The sequence below is a fragment of the Homo sapiens genome, chromosome 3, assembly GCF_000001405.40.
Source record: "Homo sapiens chromosome 3, GRCh38.p14 Primary Assembly".
In the NCBI taxonomy this organism is placed as follows: domain Eukaryota; kingdom Metazoa; phylum Chordata; class Mammalia; order Primates; family Hominidae; genus Homo; species Homo sapiens.
In genome coordinates, this window is record NC_000003.12 from 179,562,788 (window position 1) to 179,582,565 (window position 19,778).

Sequence of the window (19,778 nt, forward strand, 5' to 3'; positions counted from 1 at the left end):
GCTTTCCTCTTTCCCGCCCCCATGGCTGCCTTCGATTGGCTAAACCTGCTGGGCCGCGGCGGGGATGCGGCGCAGCCGCATTCTGATTGGCTAGACTTAGGCCTGGACCCTAGTGATTGGCTGATAGGAGGAGCCAGCAAGTGTGGCTGAGCTCCGGGGTGTGTGGACGCCGCTTTGTTGCCTGAGGTGGGTGGCGGTGGAAGTTAAGGGAGTCAGGGGCTATCGCTCCTCGAGACTCGCAGTCGCGGCCACTGCAGTCACTTCGCCAGTTAGCCCTTAGGGTAGGAGTCGCGCCGGCAGCAGCCATGAGCGGCGGCGTGTACGGGGGAGGTGAGTGAGTGCGGCCGGACGAGAGAGCGCGCCTTTTCGGCGTGTGGGGTTTGTAACCGCCGCTCCCAGCCCTCCCCTCCCCGGCGTTCCCTTCCGGTCTCCCCCTCTCGGGACCCCGGCCTCCCCGCCCCGTCCCCGCCCCACGCTCTGCCCGCCCCCGGAGCCCACCCGGCTCGCCGTGCTCCTCGGGCTCCCTGAAGTGGCGGCTCTCTGTGGCCTCTTCCTGCCTCTGTCCCCGGAGGAGCAGGGTTTTGGGGTGCGCGCTCGGTTCTCTAGGGAGCCTCGGGGCTGGGCGGGAGGCTCAGTCTAGCCGGCCGCCGGGCCCCGGCTTGGGTGACCGCCCCAGGGTCGCATCTCCCCGAGTGCCTCCTGGACTCAGCTGTGTCGGGACGCGTGTGCGCCCGCCTAAACTTGGAAGGTCCCGGCGGTTTGCAAGCGTGGACGGAGGGTTCCCAGAGTGTCCCATAGGTGGCAAAGCGAGCCTCAAGCCGTAGAACTGACTAGGGAAGCGGCGGCCACTTAGGGTACTGCCTCCTCCCCGTCTGCGCCCCATGCGCGAGCTGCCTCACCTTTCAGTAACTCTTGCCTGTTTTTTGGCTGCGGAGTCTCCAGAGTGACTCGTGGGCGGGTCTGTTTGAGATCAATTCAGGAGCACGTGTAATTTAAGGATGCCCAGAAAGTTTGCTGGGGGTCCTAGGCGTGTTATTTTTTCACTTTCTTTGATTAGACTGTGGTGTGGTAGGAAGATTACCAGGTGCCGGGGGTTACAGACCTGGGTTGAAATATCCACCTCACTCTTTATTAAGCGCTTTGGTCTTGGGCAGTTTATGTAACTTTCCAACTTCAGGCCTCATTTATGGAATAATTCCTAGCCGATGGGGGTGGGCATGAAGGTTAAATGAAATAATGCTGCATTTGCCACTTAAAGTCTGGCCCATGGACCAGCAGTGTCAGCATCACCTGCAAGCCTGTTAGAAATGCAGGATCTCACGCGTCATTCAGAATCTACTGATTTAGAGCCTCCATTTTTGCAAGATCTGCAGGTTAATCGAAACACTGATACATATAATTCATGTGTTGGGTTGTGTTTGATGAGTTAGAGACCCAGAAAACAAATCCAGACTATTGCTGTTGTTACTGTGTCTAGTAGTGATGCTGTTTCTATAAAGGATGTCATTTTACAGGTAGGAAACAACAAAAATAAGATTTTTCCTTCATGTTCCCCAAGAAAATCACATCACCCCTAAACTTGGAAGGAGAAAAACATTAAAATCCTCAAAAAAGACAAAAGCCTTTTTAGTAGAGTAGAGGTTCAATTCTTGAGGATTTTTATAGACTAGAAATTGCATCCTAGGTTTTAAACATCCAGAACTCTGTGGTTCTATTAAGCCTCCTGCCTCCCATGGCCACTCTCCTACTTTGGGTTCATGGGGCTTGATTTTTAATGAAGCAGGGTACAGGAATTAGATGTATCTCCCATCCTGGAAAAGGAACAGATGTAAAATTCTGAGAATTTAGAGTCTTAAATTAAAATTCCACCATATCCAGTTTACTAAACTAATTAGGACAGGAAAATGAGCTGATATGTTGGATTTTTTCTATTTCACAAAAATGTTTTTTGAGTACTTGCTATGTGGCAGGTATAGGCTCTTGTCATCAAGAAGCTCAGTCTTGTAGATGAGTCTGTTAGGTAAATAGACACCGTATTTCACTGATTCTTCGTTGTACATTTTTTCCCACATTTAAACAGCTGAAGTTGGAATATGTCTTTTTTTTTTTTTTTTTTAATAGAGATGGGTCTTGAACTCCTGAGCTCAGGCGGTCTTCCCACCTCAGCCTCCCAAAGTGCTAGGATTACAGGTTTGAGCCACTGCCCCCAGTCAGAATATGTCTTAACAGTGCTGGCGTGGCAGAGTTTAATTGCCATATTATTTTGTTAGTGATGCAGGAAATAGTGGTGCATCATGTAGTTGATAGCATCTTATATTGATCAGAAATGGTAACTGTAATTCAATGAGAGATGTTCATTGATAACAATATGTAGAAGGGGCCGGGTGCGGTGTAATCCCAACACCTTGGGAGGCCGAGGCGGGCGGATCACTTGAGGCCAGGAGTTCAAGACCAGCTTGGCCAACATGACAAAACCCTGTCTCTACTAAAAATACAAAAATTAGCCAGGCGTGGTGGTGCATGCCTGGAGTCCCAGCTGCTGGGGAGGCCGAGGCACAAGAATCGCTCGAACCTGGAACTGCACTCCAGCCTGGGTGACAGAGCGAGACTCTATCCTAAAAAAAACAAAAACAAACATATATATATGTGTGTTATATATGTTATATATATTACATATATGTTGTATATATTATATATTATATGTTATATATGTCCTATATATACATATATATAGTGCAAAGGTAGCTCAGAGAATAAAGTTATTGATTCCGTGTGGTGGAGTCAAGGGACTTTACAATAGAGGTAATGGGGATGATGGAGGAGGAGTGGAAAGGGACAGCATATGCAAAGGTTAGCTGAGTGAGAGTATGTGGTGCGTTCAGGAGATGACATATTACCCAGTAAGTTAGTGTATGAGGCAGGAAGTGAGACTGCTACCAGATTTTGCTACACCTTGAATTTCAACTGGCTAGAGTGATTTAAATTTTATCAAATACAGTGATGAGAAACCACGGAATGATTCACCCCCTAATTTTTTTTGAAGGATTTATGTACCAAAATAATGACAGTTACAGTATTGAAAGATCATAGTGCAGCAGTTGGAAGGGTGGATTGAAGAGGCAAAGAGGTGGAGGCACAATATCTGTAGGGAATTGTAGTTTCCCGGTTGAGATAAGAGCTCGATTGAAGGCAGTGGCAATGGTATTAAAAAGGAGGGGATTTGAGAAATACTTAGCAGAAATATTTGGCAGAACTTGAAAGATGGAGGTGTTCACAAAAACTCTCAGATTTTTGCCAGTGTGGACTGGTGGTCAGCAATGTGTTAGGCAATGCTGAGATCAGCAGTGCTTCAGATGTGTTGAATTTGAGATACCCATGAGGCATCAGATGCAATTATGTTGATGTACAGTGAAAAGTTCAGGATATGGATGTAGACACTGGTTAGAGCTTGAGAGAGAGAGAGATTTGAAATTGGAATTATCAGTATTTAGGTAGAAGTTGAAGCTATAGGAGTAGAATATATTACCCAGGAAAGGGTAAATTAGGGAAGGAGCTCCTAACATAGGGTTTGTGGCCTTCCCAAAGTTTCCATGGTAGAACTATATTTTATTATAATTGGCTTCTTTTATAAACATTTAAAAACATTCTAAGAAGGGATTCATAATTTCCTAAACTGTATTAGTTTGTAGGGCTGCCATAATAAAGTACCACAGTCTGTGTGGCTTAAACAACAGAAATTAGTTTTCTCACAATTCTAGAGGATAGAGGTAGATCTAAGTGTCAGCAGAGTTGGTTTCTTCTGAGGTCTGTCTCTGTGTGTAGATGGCCATCTCCTCCTCTGTCTTCACATGGCCGTCCCTCTGTACAAGTCCAAGTCTGAATTTTCTCTTTTTGTTGTTGTTGTTGTTGTTGTTGTTTTTGAGACTGAGACTTGCTCTGTCACCCAGGCTGGAGTGCAGTAGCACGATCTCAGCTCGTTGCAGCCTCCGCCTGCCGGGTTCAAGCAATTCTCCTGCCTCGGCCTCCAGAGTAGCTAGGACTACAGGTGCATACGGCCACGCCCGGCTAATTTTTTGTATTTTGGGTAGAGTTGGGGTTTCACCATGTTGGCCAGGATGGTCTTGATCTCCTGACCTCGTAATCTGCCCGCCTCTGCCTCCCAAAGTGTTGGGCTTACAGGTGTGAGCCACCGCGCGCCCTGCCTGAATTTTCTCTTAAAAACATCACTCATACTGGATTAGGACCCAATCTAATGATTTCATTTTAACTTAATTACTTCTTCAAAGATTCTGGTTTCACCGGGCATGGTAGCTCACGTCTATAATCCTAGCACTTTGGGAGGGCAAGGCGAGTGGATCACCTGAGGTGTGGAGTTTGAGACCAGCCTGGCCAACATGGTGAAACCCCATGTCTACTAAAAATATAAAACCTAGCCGGGCTTGGTGGCCAGCAGATGTAATCCCAGCTACTCAGGAGGCTGAGGCAGAAGAATCACTTGAACCCCGGAGGTGGAGGTTGCAATGAGCTGAGATTGTGCCATTGCACCCCAGCCTGGGCGACAGGAGTGAAACTCTGTCTCAAAACATAAAAATAAATAAATAAATAAAGAATAAAGACTCTGGTTTCAAGTACAGTCACATTCTGAGGTACTAGGGGTTAGGATTTTGACATATGAATTTTAGGGCGACACAATTCAGTCCACAACACTGTCATAAGGGTCCATAACACAGAACAGGTTAAGGGCTCCTGGCGCAGGGCAAAAGATAAATCCTTGAGGAACAGAAGTTGAAATTTTTGGTTAACTATACAATTAATTCATTTAATTAGGATATCTCTTTACCCAGCATTCTGGTTAATAAAAGTATTAAATTTTACCAACTCATATTCATTGCTATACTTACGATTTGTACTCAAGTTTAGGTGCTGTGGTGAAAACAAATACAGTGTTCTCCTTTTAAGGACCCCCTAGTTTCTGACAAAATAATTTGGACCAGAGAATTTCACAGGGAAGGGTTAATTATCTTGAGAAATGTAACAAATACGTAAACTTTCTTTTATATTAGAAATTAAAATATGTCTCTGTTTTATTTGAATAAAAATGAGAGGCTGGGCGCGGTGGCTAACACCTATAATCCCAGCACTTTGAGAGGCCAAGGCGGGTGGATCACGAGGTCAGGAGTTTGAGACCAGCCTGGCCAATATGGTGAAACCCCATCTCTACTAAAAATACAAAAATTAGCTGGGCATGGTGGTGCGCGTCTGTAGTCCCAGCTGCTCAGGAGGCTGAGGCAGGAAAATCTGTTGAACCTGGGAGGTAGAGGTTGCAGTGAGCCGAGATCACGCCACTGCACTCCAGCCTGGGCAGCAATACAGCAAGACTCCGTGTCAAAAAAAAAAAAAAAAAAAGAGATCATTCTGCAAAGCTACTGTCTCTTAACTGATACTTGCAAAGTAATGGGTTTGATTTTAAAAATTTTAAGTTTTTGAAATATTTTAAACATATTAAAAATATGTAAGTTTGTATGTGATATTACTGTAATCACCTGTAAGTTTGTATGTAATACAATACTGCATTCACCAGTGAGATTAAATAGATGTCATATTTTGCCATATTAATACCTCAGATATTTTAAGAATAAAAATGTTATTGATACAGATTTCCTCTCTCTCCCTTCTTCAGTTCATGTAACCACTGAACTGAAGTTGGTATGTAACATTCCCAGACCCCATGCATATTTTCTTTTTTTTTTTTGAGACGTGTGTGTGTGTGTATATGTGTATATATGTATGTGTATACATATGGTTTTTTGATAACTAGCTTTTAAAACTAAGCATTCTTTTAGATTTATTGATGCTGACATATGTAGATCTAAAGTGTTCATTTGAACTGCTGTACAGGATTCCATTGTGTGAATATATTATTGCTTATCTATTTCCCTGCTGAGAGACCATTAGATTATTTCTGCCTTTTCCTATGGCAAGCAGTGTGTCAATTATAATAGCAGCTTACACTTAGCATGTGTATTTTCTAAGACTTCATATACATGAAAGCACTTAACATGTTTAATCATTAGAGTATCCTGTGAGATAAGAGCTATTATGTACATTTTACATATTAGGAAACTGAAGCAGAGAGGTTAATAAATTGCTCAGTTCTTGTAGCTGTTGAACATTCTTTTGCATGTCTCCTTGCAACCTGTATGAGAGAGTGTCTCCAGAATAAGTAAGTGTAATTCTATGTATGCACAATTTCAACTTTAATAGATATGACTAAATTGCCCATAGTGGTTGTCCCACTTTGGACAATAAATTATAGAATCACCCTAGTTGATGGTGGAGGGAGGTTGCTGGTATATTTATTAGCCTGGTTCATTCACCTCAGGGTAATCCATGGCTAACTGCATCCCCTCTACTAAAAGTCACAGCTCCTGTCAGGTAGCCCTCCCCATACAACTTTCTCTCCAGATTCTGATAACAGTTATTTCTTCTTGTTTCTTCAGTTTGAAGAATGGCAATGGATCCATTATTATTAGTTATCATTATAGTACTGGGGTACTGTACTGTCCCTTCTGGTTGTCCTGTATTTCACCTATATCTTTGCAAATAATTCCCTTTAATAAGTAAACTGAAATTACCCAGTTTTAGTGTACCATTTCTTAACTGATTGAACCTCTACTTAAATACGGTGTATGCCTTGTTATATTTTAATTAAATGATTCTTTAAGGTGTATTTGAAACTAGGTTCAAGTGAGTAATAATATGAATATAATTGGGCTGAGTGCAGTGGCTCATGCCTGCAGCACTTTGGGATGCTGAGGCAGAGGATTGCTTGAGCCCTGGAGTTTGAGTCCAGCCTGGGCAACATAGTGAGACCTTATGTCTACAAAAAATTTAAGAAATTCATTGTAGTCCCAGCTATTTGGAAGACTGAGGCGGGAGGATTGCTTGAGCCTAGGAGGTTGAGGCTGCAGTGAGCTGTGATTTTCATATGATACTTTTGCAAGCTGTTAATGCTAATTATCTTTAATCTTTTCAGATGAAGTTGGAGCCCTTGTTTTTGACATTGGATCCTATACTGTGAGAGCTGGTTATGCTGGTGAGGACTGCCCCAAGGTAAGTGTAATGTTAGAGTTAATTGGATATGTAAAGCCATTCATGTAAATTAAATTTATGCAGAAATTCTGATTCAAAACAAAATATAATAAAATACATTAATTGGGGAAAAAATGCCTTCTTGATGAAAGGTGAAACTTGTATGTCATGTTTCTGACTCTTACAGGTGGATTTTCCTACAGCTATTGGTATGGTGGTAGAAAGAGATGACGGAAGCACATTAATGGAAATAGATGGCGATAAAGGCAAACAAGGCGGTCCCACCTACTACATAGATACTAATGCTCTGCGTGTTCCGAGGGAGAATATGGAGGCCATTTCACCTCTAAAAAATGGGATGGGTATGATGTTTTCCCCATGGAATTGATTATGGAGTGTACATGTTATATTTTAGATACAAAGTAGTAGCTTCCTATAAGTTGAACATCAACCATGGTTTTTTGTTTTGTTTTGTTTTTTATTCCACAAACTGATTTCCAGACACTGAGAATACAAAGATGCATAAGAAATGTTCCTTTTCATTAAAAGCTTACAGTTAGTTGGGGGAAATAGATGTATATATACAAATAATGGTACACTGTGGGATAAGTGGTACAATATAGGTATGTGCAATGAGCAATGGGATTAGAGAGGAGAGGTATTTGACTCTAGTGTTGGGAGTCAGTGATGGTTTTCACAAAGGAGGTAACATGATGAATCTTGATCAATGAGTAAGAATTAGCTTGGCTGACAAAGCTGGGTAAAGCAAAGGGACCAGCATGTGTGAAGGGATGGAATTGTGAAAGAAACTTATGTGCTTGAAAATGTAATACAATTAAGTATGGTTGCAGCATTGGGCTTATTAGGGTCAGTAGCAGGAAAGGTAGGCAGAGAGCAGTAGCAGGAAAGGTAGGCAGGGAGCAGTCATAAAAGGGCTTGTAAACCATCCCAGGGTTGTATTAAGCTAGTGACTGAAGGATAACCCCAAAGGAATTTAAACAGATGTGATGGTCAGAGTCCAGATGAGAAATGAAAAAGGTTTAAACTATTATATAATGCTGGTAGAGATTCTGAAGGGACTTTCAGGGTAACCAGGAGACAAATGGTACTAAATGATCGAGGGAGTGAAAGCAAGAGAGAAGTTGAGAAAGTTTCCTAGATTTTTGGTTGGGGTAACTCTGAACAGAGAGTACCATGCATTGAGATAGGAATATAAAGGGAAGGAGCAAGTGTTACGGTTTTAAAAGGCATGGTTGGCCATGCGTGGTGGCTCGCGCCTATATAATCCCAGCACTTTGGGAGGCTGAGACTGTGGGTGGATTGCTTGAGTCTAGGAGTTTGAGACCAGCCTGGGCAACATGGCGAAACCCCATCTCTACTAAAAATACAAAAATTTGACAGGTGTGGTGATGCGTACCACCTGTAATTCCAGCTACTTGGGAGGCTGAGGCATGAGAATCACTTGAACCCAGGATGCAGAGGTTGCAGCTGAGATCTCATGACTACACACCAACCTGGGTGACAGAGTGAGACTCTGTCTCAAAAAAAAAAACAAAAAAAAAAAACAAGCTTATCAGGGATAGCCAAAATCACTCTCAGGTTCAATTATTCACCAGCAAGACTCACTCACAGGACTCAGCATATGGTTGTATTCACAGCTAAGATTTATTGTACTGAAGATTCAGATACAAAACAAAATCGACAAAGGGAAAAGGGACAGGGGATGATGAAGTCCAGATACAGGCTTTGGAGAGTCTTCTCACAGTGGAGTCACACAGGATGTGCTTAATCCCTCCAGCAACAAGTTATGATCTGTGTTACCTTCCAGGAGAACTCTGAGGCTCAGTACCCAAGGATTTTACAGAGGGCTGGTTATGTAGGTACCATCTACCTGGCATGTAACAAAATTTTAGATTCTCAGAAGGAAAGCAAGTGTTCAGAACAAACCACATTGTATAAACAGTGTAGGTATAGCGAGCTACCCTTACCATTTAGGGACAAGTTTTATATGAACATAGGGAACTGTTTGCCAGTCATGTTTCCAGACACCAGCTAAGAGTCAGCCTTACAAGCAGGCCTTTCTCAGGCTTGCAGTGTTAACTCTTTCATGTGTAGTAAGTAAATGGGTTCACTGAGTTCAAAGTACTTAGAACATCCAGGTGATAATTCAGTAAACGGGAATAAAAGGTTATAAGAAAGATTTTAAGACATGGAGTTGCATTTTATTACTCTGAAAAAAATTGGAACATGAGAAGAGGATTGAAGATGGAGTTCTAGCAAAAACTTGTTGTATATTTTAACCAATAGAGAATAAAAGGTACCCTTGAAGGAGAAAGAAAGGGAACAATTAGGGATGTAGGAAAAAAAGCAGGGGAAGAACAAGAAAAGAAAAAGTTTCTGGAAGCATAAAATTCCAGTTATTCTCGGTGTTTTCTGCTGTGACATTGAAAGCTTTACACTAAGAAAGAAGTTAAAAAAATCCAGGTGGGCCTGTGGAAATATATAATTAATGACATTTTTTCTTTGGGCTGTGACAGAAAAGTTTGTAAACTCTTGTGTAGGCAATACTGTCATAATTTAGAGAAGTCAGATGAGATTAAAAATGTTAAGTATCCATGAATTTGCCTAGTAGAAGGTCATTAGTGGCTGGGGGCGGTGGCTCACGCCTGTAATCCCAGCACTTTGGAGGCTGAGGTGGGTGGATCACCTGAGGTCAGGAGTTCGAGACCAGCCTGGCCAACATGGTGAAACCCTGTCTCTACTAAAAATGCAAAAATTAGTTGGGTACGGTGGCGGGCACCTGTAATCCCAGCTACTCGGGAGCCTGAGGGAGGAGAATTGCTTGACCCCAGGAGGCGGAGGTTGCAGTGAGCTGAGATTGTGCCATTGCACTCCAGTGTGGGGGACAGAACGAGACTCCATCTCAAAAAAAAGAAAAAAGAAGGTCATTAGTGACTTATGTCAGTAGTTTTAATGGAATGTTTAGGTGGAAGCCAAATTGAAGACAGATGCTCTTCTTTGAATTTTTAACATGTCTTTTAGTCTTTTTCCAAATAGATTGTAAGTTTTTTTGAGTGTCGGGTCTAGACCATACAATTCTTTCTTTTTTTTTTTTTTTTATAAATCCAGCAGTAGTATCATCAGAAGGCCATACAATTCTTCTGTACTTCCTATTATCATTCTGATCACATTCTGGGCCTCTAATAAGTATTTATTGAATTGAATAACATTTACTTCATATTTTAGGTCTGTTAGATTAATTACATTTGGGACAGGTCTGGGGGCTGGAGGGACCAAAAAGAAGTTCTATATATCTAGAAGGCAAAGGTAATCTCTATATAAAGTAATGTGGTATGAAGTTGATCTGTAAAATCAGTAGGTTCTGTATACTAAAGTATTAATTGTTAAGTCATAGAAACAATTTCTCAAAAGATGCTATATTCATCTTCAACTATGCATTATTTCCAAGTTACTAATCTTATATTCTAGTTGAAGACTGGGATAGTTTCCAAGCTATTTTGGATCATACCTACAAAATGCATGTCAAATCAGAAGCCAGTCTCCATCCTGTTCTCATGTCAGAGGCACCGGTGAGATAAAGATTTTCTTTTTCACGTTTCTCTAGTTGTTTTTTTTTTTTCTTTTTTTTTTCCTTTAGTTTTCTACTCATTTGATGAACATTTTTCTTTAAAGAGGCATAGAAATTCATATTTTGAATTTGAAAATTAGGGAAAAGGATTAATTTTTTAACACTATTATAACTTTTATTTTACTATTCCAATAAATAAAATATCCAGAGAACAACAAAACACCCTAATGGATTCTTGTGGTTATTTATGTATTTCTAGGGATTTGTTTAACATTTTATTTCCTAGGACTGCTTCCCATTTTGAATTATGAATCATTTCTTGTGCCCCAAGGGCAGCGTATATCTACTTTTATTCAAGTTTCCAAGAAAGAATTGAGATGTTGAACAAGGGCTGGAAATTTCTGGACCAAAGTCTCTTGTGAAATACATTTGGTACATAGACAAAAAGGTCCCAGAAAGCAAGCATAATGGTCATAAATTATCAGTATCTTATTGTTACTAACTTACAGTATTCTTTTATGAATACCAACTATAAGTGGGAGAATTTGGTGGTCTAAAATTCATACTTAGGATTTGGATTACCATATTTACTCTTTAGATTTAATAATATGTTTATAAGAATCCTGGTTTCCTCATATGTGGAAAAGTCAGGAGCAATTTTATTATTAAAGAATTTTAATTCTTCTCTGATAGATTTATTAAATTTAATCTACATCTAAAGAAATAAATATTATAGAGGTTTTTTTATTTTTATGAGATATTATGAAAGATGATTTCCCATGGTATTTTATTCTGTTCTTAATGTTTTATATCTTTGTTAATATAGTGCTAGATTTTATCTGGAGATAAATCAACTTTTTAATTCTTAATAACTTGCATTTCTTTTTCCCCTCTTCTCAAGTGGAATACTAGAGCAAAGAGAGAGAAACTGACAGAGTTAATGTTTGAACACTACAACATCCCTGCCTTCTTCCTTTGCAAAACTGCAGTTTTGACAGCGTATCCTTGAAAGAGTAATACCTTTCCTCTTGAAGTATGTACGATACTAATGAATATGATAACTCTGGGAGAAGACATACGCCAATTATTGCTTGTTCCGAAGTTGTTTTTTTCCCTTTTCTCTTGCTTTTTAGCTATTCATCTTTTAGTATTTCTTGTTAGAACTGATGATACACCAGAAGGTATGAGGGAAATAAAATAACACTCAAATTCTGAGTGTTAAGACGTTTTTGTTTTTGTTTTTAAGAAGGGGCATGTGGATAGAAGGCAATGTTTTAACCAGTTGGCTTAGGTGAATTGAAAGATTGCCATTTTAAAATCTCCTTCCCTTCCAATATCATAGAAAACTGGAAATTGGCTGTAAATTCATTCTCCTTCAAATTTAGTCAGTCATCAAATCCTGCCTGTTCTTCCCTGCTATTTGCTTCTCTCTGTCCTACTGCCACAGCATTAGGTGGAAGCTATTTCCAGGATTACTGAAGCACGTCCTCTTGTCTGCCCATTCTTTACGCTGTTGCTCTAATAATCTTTCTATTTTTATTTATTTATTTATTTGGTAGAGATGGAGTTTCGCCATGTTGCCCAGGCTGCTCTCGAACTCCTGGACTCAAGCGATATGCTTGCCTCAGTCTCCCAAAGTGCTGGGATTACAGGCATGAGCCACCGTGCCCAGCCTCTAATAATCTTTCTAAAGTGCTAGTCTGCTTTAAGCCAGAATCGTCTTCTACATTTCTTCCTTTATTTTACTTTCAGACCGTGCTGAGGTACTTGCAGTTCTCTGACCTCGCTGTGTTCTCTTGCTTCTTGGTCTTCCCACATGCTCCTACTCTTGCCCATATTCCCTTCCCCAGATTTTACTATTGAATATCTCAGGAATAGGTTTCCCTTTTACATCACCATCTTCCCTGGGACATCCTGAGCTTTTCTTTTTACAGCTTTATTCATCATCTACTTCACTAAACAGGATAACCTTCAGGGAAAAGGCAGTTTTGGTGCACCATTGTGTGTCTACTGTGTTAAAGGAATTTTAGTGCCAGGTGAGCAGCCTCCCTCCTTCCTCCCTCCCTCCTTATTAAGCACCAGACTTAGTAGACACCTAATAGATGCTCAGTAAATATTTGATGAATGAGTGAATGTCCCTACTCCTAAACATCAGTTTAGTATATTCAGGTAGTATAGGCCATCTGCAGCACAGAACTGTGGAAAATGGGATCTGCCAATATTTACCAACTGTGGAATTCACCTGGAATAGTTTTCCCGCTCATTGAGTTGGAGGAGATAGGAACTGCCATATGGCTGCCAAACTGCTGAAACAGCTCTTTTTCAATGCTATGTGAGAATGGTTATAGTCCCTAGCTCAATTATCACAACCTCCCACTGTTCTTACCAAGTTTCTGTATATTTTGTTAAATAAATGCATCTCAGTTTGTTGTAAGCTCTTTGATCAGTCTCCAGAGACTTTTAGTGATTGTGTTAATTTTGACCAGCTTAATAGTAGCTGTTCCTAGGATAAAGGTTTCCCTGAGTGCCTGATACCTCCATTCTGGAATTCCTGCCTCTTACTATTTGTTTTTAAGCCAGAAATATTATTTTATACCAATTTTTATCCCTAGATTCACTGTAATACATTTTTAACTATAAGGTACATGTTTAAGAAATAGTTTCTGAAACATTATAAGAGCCTGCCCTTTACAATAAACATTATTTTAGCGGCCTTGATACTTTCTTTTCCTTAATGTTTTAAACTAGATTTGCTAATGGTCGTTCTACTGGGCTGATTTTGGACAGTGGAGCCACTCATACCACTGCAATTCCAGTCCACGATGGCTATGTCCTTCAACAAGGTAAATGTATTTAACCAGGATACACTGAGATGATTTTAGATGCCATGAGGATGCACATAATGAAATAAAATGATGAGTAGCACTATTAAAGCATATCAGTTTCTGAATAAGATTTTTTTTAAGTATGTTAAAAATCTTTAGTATATAATGTATATTTAAAACTGATGCATGGCTTTATTTATGTGTTGAAGGATAGTTCAGTTCATTCTACCTGAAAAAGTTATTCACATAAATACACCCACAGAGGAAATTCGTTCAAGGAAGTTTGGACTTACTGCCCTCTTAGCCTTGTTTCATCTGTTTCATAGGCATTGTGAAATCCCCTCTTGCTGGAGACTTTATTACTATGCAGTGCAGAGAACTCTTCCAAGAAATGAATATTGAATTGGTTCCTCCATATATGATTGCATCAAAAGTAAGTAATTATTGAATTTTCTTTGTAGAACTTACTTCTAGCTCCCCCACCCCTATGAAGTGAACTCCATTAACCTAGCATCTCTTGGTACTCTCAGGAAGCTGTTCGTGAAGGATCTCCAGCAAACTGGAAAAGAAAAGAGAAGTTGCCTCAGGTTACGAGGTCTTGGCACAATTATATGTGTAATGTAAGTAACCCTCATTCTCTTTACAAAAATGTTACAGGCTTTTTGCATGAGTATTAAAAAAAGTTATATATAGGCTGTAAATCCTTGAGTAAAATATGGGCACTTTATATTTTCAAGCTCTTTATTTTTTTTATTACTAAATACATTTTGAAGATTAAATAGAACATGATCTCAGGGTCACACTCTATATTTTTAATGATATTTTACTAACAAAAGAGCTTTTCTGTGAGAGGCATGCTTTTCATACTTGCCAAACAAATCTCTACAAATTACTACATACTCACTTGGATTACTATGGTGAGACCTGGAAGGAATTTTGGTTTTATGCTATTCTGAACATTTTTGGCTGAGAAAATGGTTTTAGGTTTTGTAGAGGCCTACTAGTATGTCTCAGTTATGTTCTGTTTCCCAGCATCAGTCAGCAATATCAAAAATGTGTTTTTGTTCAGAACAAGGAACCCATGAGAGATTCTCTTTACTAAAAACCCATCTCTGAACATATGGCTTACTGATGGGGAAGAGGTTAGTAAAACAACCTGATGCCACAGATACGCCTTAATTTCTTAAAAAAAAAACAAAAAAAAACTGTTACTTTAGGTTCAGGGGTACATGTGCAGGTTTGTTAAATGGGTAAACTCATGTCACGGAAGTTTGTTGTACAGATTATTGTCCCCCAGGTACTAAGCCTAGTACCCAATAGTTATTTTTTCTGCTCCATTCCCTCGTCCCTCAGGGAGGTCCAACTGTCTGTTGTTCCCTTCTTTGTGTCCATGTGTTCTCATCATCTAGCTCTCACTTGTAAGTGAGAACGTGCTGTATTTGGTTTTCTGTTCCTGCATTAGTTTGCTGAGGATAATGGCCTCCAGCTCCATCCCTGTTCCTTCAAAGGACATGATCTCATTCTTTTTTTTTTTTTTTCACTACATAATATTCTGTGGTCTGTATGTACCACATTTTCTTAATCCAGTCTTCCACCGACGGGCATTTAAGTTGATTCCATGTCTTTGCTATTGTGAATAGTGGTGCAGTGTACATACACATACATGTGTCTTTATGATAAACTGATTTATATTCCTTTGGGTATATACCCAGTAATGAGATTGCCAGGTCAAGTGGTAGTTCTGGGCCAGGCATGGTGGCTCACGCCTGTAATTTGAGAGGCTGAGGTGGGTGGATCCCTTGAGCTCAGGAGTTAGAGACCAGCCTGGGAAACATGGCAAAACCCTGTCTCTACAAAAACAGAAAAATTAGCTAAGTGGGGCCGGGTGCAGTGGCTCACGCCTGTAATCCCAGCACTTGGGGAGGCCGAGGCGGGTGGATCACCTGAGGTCAGGAGTTGGAGACCAGCCTGGCCAACATGGTGAAGCCCTGTCTCTAAAAATATAAAAAAATTAGCTGGGTGTGGTGGTGGGTGCCTGTAATCCCAGCTACTTGGGAGGCTGAGGCAGGAGAATTGCTTGAACCCAGGAGATGGATGTTGCAGTGAGCCAACACGGTGCCACTGCGCTCCTGCCTGGGCGACAGAGTGAGACTCCATTTCAAAGAAAAAGAAAAATTAGCTAAGTGTGGGGGTGTGCACCTTTAGTCCCAGCTACTTGGGAGACTGAGGTGGGAGAATCACCTGAGCCCTGTGAGGTCGAGGCTGCAGTGAGCTGTGATTGTACCAGTGCCTTCTAGCCTGGGTAACGAGTGAGAACCCATCTCAAAAAAGAAAAAAAAACAAATGGTAGTTCTGTTTTTAGCTCTTTGAGGAATTGCCACATGGCTTTCAACAATGGTTGAACTAATTTACATTCTCACCAAAAGTGAATAAACGTTCGCTTTTCTCTGCAGCCGTGTCAGCAGCATCTGTTATTTATTTAATTTTTTCAAGACAGAGTCTTGCTTTGTCACCCAGGCTGGAGCGCAGTGGTGCAGTCTCGGCTCACTGCAACCTCCATCTCCTGGGTTCAAGCAATTCTCCTACCTCAGCCTCCTGAGTAGCTGGGACTACAGGTGTGTGCCACCACACCTGGCTAATTTTTGTATTCTTAGTTGGCCAGGCTGGTCTCTAACCCTTGACCTTGTGATCCACCCGCCTCAGCCTCCCAAAGTGCTGGGATTACAGGCGTGAGCCACTGTGCCCGGCCCTATTTTTTCACTTTTTAATAATAAATAATAGCCATTCTGACTGGTGTGAGATGGTGTATCATTGGGGTTTTGATTTTCATTTATCTGATGGTCAGTGATATTGAGCTTTTTTTCATATGCTGTTGGCCGCATGTATGTTTTCTTTTGAAGTGTCTATTAGTGTCCTTTGCCCACTTTTTAATGAGGCTTTTTGTTGTTGTTGTTCCTTATAGAAGCTAGGTATTAGACCTTTGTTAGATACATAGTTTGCAAATATTTTCTCCTATTCTGTAGGTTGTTTGCTTACTCTGTTGATAGAAATTAATGTGTATCCAGCAAAAGAAACTAAGAGTAAAATTATATGAGTCATAATTTACTATGAGAGGGATCATATCTAACAGGTTTTTTAAAAATTATTTTATTTATATCATATACACACACACACACACACACACACACACACACACATTTTAAAGACAGGGTTGGCTGGGCACGGTGGCTCATGCCTGTAATGCCAGCACTTTGGGAGGCCAAGGCAGTGGATCACTTGAGGCAAGGAGTTCAAGACTATCCTGGCCAACATGGTGAGACCCCATCTCTACTAAAAATACAAAAATTAGCTGGGTTTGGTGCTGAGCACCTGTAATCCCAGCTACTTGGGAGGCTGAGGCAGGAGAATTGCTTGAACATGGGAGATGGAGGTTGCATTGAGCCAAGATTGTGCCACTGCATTCCAGCCTGGACGACAAGAGCAAGACTCTGTCTCAAAAAATAAATAAAGACAGGGTCTCTCTCTGTCACCCAGGCTGGAGTGCAGTGGTGCAGTTGTAGTTCACTGCAGTCTCAAACACCTGGGCTCCCCCTGCCTCAGCCTCCTCAGTAGGGAGGACTACAGGTGCATGCCACCATGCCTGGCTAATTTTTTATTTTTATAGAGACAGTGTCTCGCTATGTTGCCCAGGCTGGTCTTGAACTCCTGGCCTCAAGCGATCCTCCTGTCTCGGCCTCTTAAAGTGCTGAGATTACAGGTATGAGCCACTGCATCCAGCTCTGACAGTTTTTGCACCTAAAGATAAAGATTTTGTCTGTGTGCACATGTAATATACGAGGAAAAATTAGGATGATTAGTCATTTTTCCTAGATATTAGACAAGATTTTTCTAGAGGTCGTGTTAGTTCACAACATTTTATTAAACTGTTTTATACTATGTACAGTCATTAAAAGTTGCATAAAATGTGATGTACATGCACATGTGTATATGTAGGTAATGAAATCTTGCTTCTAATCTAGCTTATTTTTAAGGAGAAAGTGGTGTTCTGAAATTGGTTTTGTTATGCAGAACTGTGGTGCAGGGGTTCCTGCACCTGCAGTTATTTATCTCTCATTTCATAACTGTTGTAACTTAAATGTGTGTAATTAACTTCTAATGCAAATGATTAGAATTAGGTTTCTTGATACTCAGAATCCTTGTTAGGTACATTTATACTCTTGAAATGATTTACCCATCTAGAAACATGGTCCAATTTCATTCAGAAAAGTATTTAAAATATGTTATAAAAGTATAGATTACAAAGATAAATCTCAACCTTGTTTGTTACTTTTTTCTTTTACTCACAGTGTGTTATCCAGGATTTTCAAGCTTCGGTACTTCAAGTGTCAGATTCAACTTATGATGAACAGTATGTTTTCTTATTAAAATGTATACTTTATAAATGAGGAAAGGATTTGTTTAAAAAATACTTAATTGAATAATGTTTAAAATATTCTCACTCCCTTTTTTTTTTTTACAAGTTTATAATTCCCTAGTAGTTTATAATTTTGAAGAGAATTATTTTTTGTCTTTTGTGTAATACGGTTTAATATGTTTTCAGAGTGGCTGCACAGATGCCAACTGTTCATTATGAATTCCCCAATGGCTACAATTGTGATTTTGGTGCAGAGCGGCTAAAGATTCCAGAAGGATTATTTGACCCTTCCAATGTAAAGGTATAAAAGCTTATTTCATAATTAGCCTGGCTTTTCCTATATAGGTAAAGAGCTTTTGTGGCTAAAATGTTTTGGATATGCTTTACTGTATGAAGAGCTTCCATGTGACTACTTGTTTTCTTTTGTTGTAGGGGTTATCAGGAAACACAATGTTAGGAGTCAGTCATGTTGTCACCACAAGTGTTGGGATGTGTGATATTGACATCAGACCAGTAAGTGCCAGTCTCCTGTTACGGTTTAAAGGTATCTTTTAGGGGACTGAAATGTCCCCAAATCATTGTTAGGTTGACAGTGATCTAATGGTTGTCAGTGTCATTGACTTTGAGGTTCATTTTATAACAGTATATGTAAAAAGATGAAGTACTAGAAAAGGAAAAATGTGAAACTCTAGAGCTATGGTGTCCAGTTTTGTAGCTACCCGCCACATGTGGCAATTTAAATTTAAAATAGATAAAAACATAAAACTCAATTCTTCAGTTGTAGTAGCCTCATTATAAATGTGGCTAGTGGCTGCATCAGACAGCGCAGATATAGAACATTTGCATCATCACAGAAAGTTATTGTAGACTGCGCTAGAGATTTCCTGAAATGTGGCAAACCAAAATATGTATTGTTGGTGATTTTCTTACAGATAGCACAACTTCTACTTTTATTTTTCAGGAAGGCGTGGTTTAAATTATATGAGTAACTTTTACATGAAGTTTATTTTAAATGCTCTTCATATTTTTTGTGCTTTGTCAGGTTTTAAATACTAACTCCATATTATATACTTCACTCATTATCAGTGATAGGTTCTTGGAGACTGCAACTTTAACTGAAACGATGTACAGTAGGTCCTTGAAGGACATTGTTTCAGGAAAAAAATTGGTTTTGTTACATGACATTTTGCTGAAAGTCAGTTTCCAAGGTCATATTGATGACATTAAATGAGGACTTACTTTATCTTATTTAAACCCAATTCAGCTTATCACCCACATACTGCCTAGATTTTGAGTAAATTAATTTGCTTAAAGCATAGTGCTAATAACTACTATGTTATTCAAAAAAGGCTTTGAGTGGCTATGAAAATCATACTTTATTTTACCTTTATTTCACCTGGTAACCTAGTAGGCATGTGATGTTTCTAGGACAATAGTAGTATAAGTTTGGGATTTTTTTAGCGCAAATACAATTCCACCTTTCGGGGAAGGTAATTGAATTGAAGTATATTTATTGCAACAGTGATAACTGTTTTTAGTGAAGTTTCTCCTTTTAACTAATGAGATACTTTTGCATTCCATTTTCTACTTCAAAATTTAGATGATTTAGACATTTGAAGTATGTTTTAAAAATAGGAACTTACCCACTAAAACAGTTTGACATTTAACTTTCTGATGCATACATGCAAATTCAAAGTAAATACACTGCTTATAAGTAGTAATTTATTTTTATTTGGGAAGGGCTTAGCATATGTGTTTTGGAAAAGCTCCCATGTGCTTCTGATGCTTACCTCTGCAAAAGAGAAAAGTAGCAATAATTTTGGCGAGGAATATGTTCAGAGTTTATCATTGTCTGTCA

General features: G+C 39.9%; 1 protein-coding gene and 1 long non-coding RNA gene across 4 annotated transcripts in view, besides 2 other annotated features; one reads left to right on the plus strand and one right to left on the minus strand.

Moving 5' to 3' along the window:
- Positions 1 to 230: a silencer, noted in NCBI's record as "silent region_14920". NCBI's record gives its function as "represses an Ori minimal core promoter by ATAC-STARR-seq in GM12878 lymphoblastoid cells {active_cell/tissue: GM12878}" and the evidence as "EXISTENCE:reporter gene assay evidence [ECO:0000049][PMID:35858748]".
- The window catches only part of ACTL6A (actin like 6A), a 25,482-nt gene continuing 5,842 nt past the window's right edge, over positions 139 to 19,778 (plus strand). Inside the window, exons 1-11 of one of the 3 annotated variants that reach the window (NM_178042.4) lie at positions 139 to 378; positions 7,037 to 7,113; positions 7,280 to 7,454; positions 10,582 to 10,682; positions 11,583 to 11,680; positions 13,430 to 13,524; positions 13,833 to 13,939; positions 14,037 to 14,126; positions 17,853 to 17,914; positions 18,107 to 18,221; positions 18,353 to 18,433. In NM_178042.4, coding sequence (NP_829888.1) covers positions 7,304 to 7,454; positions 10,582 to 10,682; positions 11,583 to 11,680; positions 13,430 to 13,524; positions 13,833 to 13,939; positions 14,037 to 14,126; positions 17,853 to 17,914; positions 18,107 to 18,221; positions 18,353 to 18,433 — 900 coding nt within the window. In that variant the 5' untranslated portion in view covers positions 139 to 378; positions 7,037 to 7,113; positions 7,280 to 7,303. The remainder of the gene's footprint in view (positions 379 to 7,036; positions 7,114 to 7,279; positions 7,455 to 10,581; positions 10,683 to 11,582; positions 11,681 to 13,429; positions 13,525 to 13,832; positions 13,940 to 14,036; positions 14,127 to 17,852; positions 17,915 to 18,106; positions 18,222 to 18,352; positions 18,434 to 19,778) is intronic. The other 2 variants (NM_004301.5, NM_177989.4) reach the window with 2 other exon arrangements.
- Positions 2,960 to 3,019: a silencer, noted in NCBI's record as "silent region_14921". NCBI's record gives its function as "represses an Ori minimal core promoter by ATAC-STARR-seq in GM12878 lymphoblastoid cells {active_cell/tissue: GM12878}" and the evidence as "EXISTENCE:reporter gene assay evidence [ECO:0000049][PMID:35858748]".
- LOC124909462 (uncharacterized) lies at positions 8,736 to 14,059 on the minus strand. Its single transcript, XR_007096181.1, has 2 exons — positions 13,975 to 14,059; positions 8,736 to 8,983 (listed from the first exon to the last, which is right to left on the minus strand). It is a non-coding gene; the product is annotated as an uncharacterized LOC124909462 (long non-coding RNA).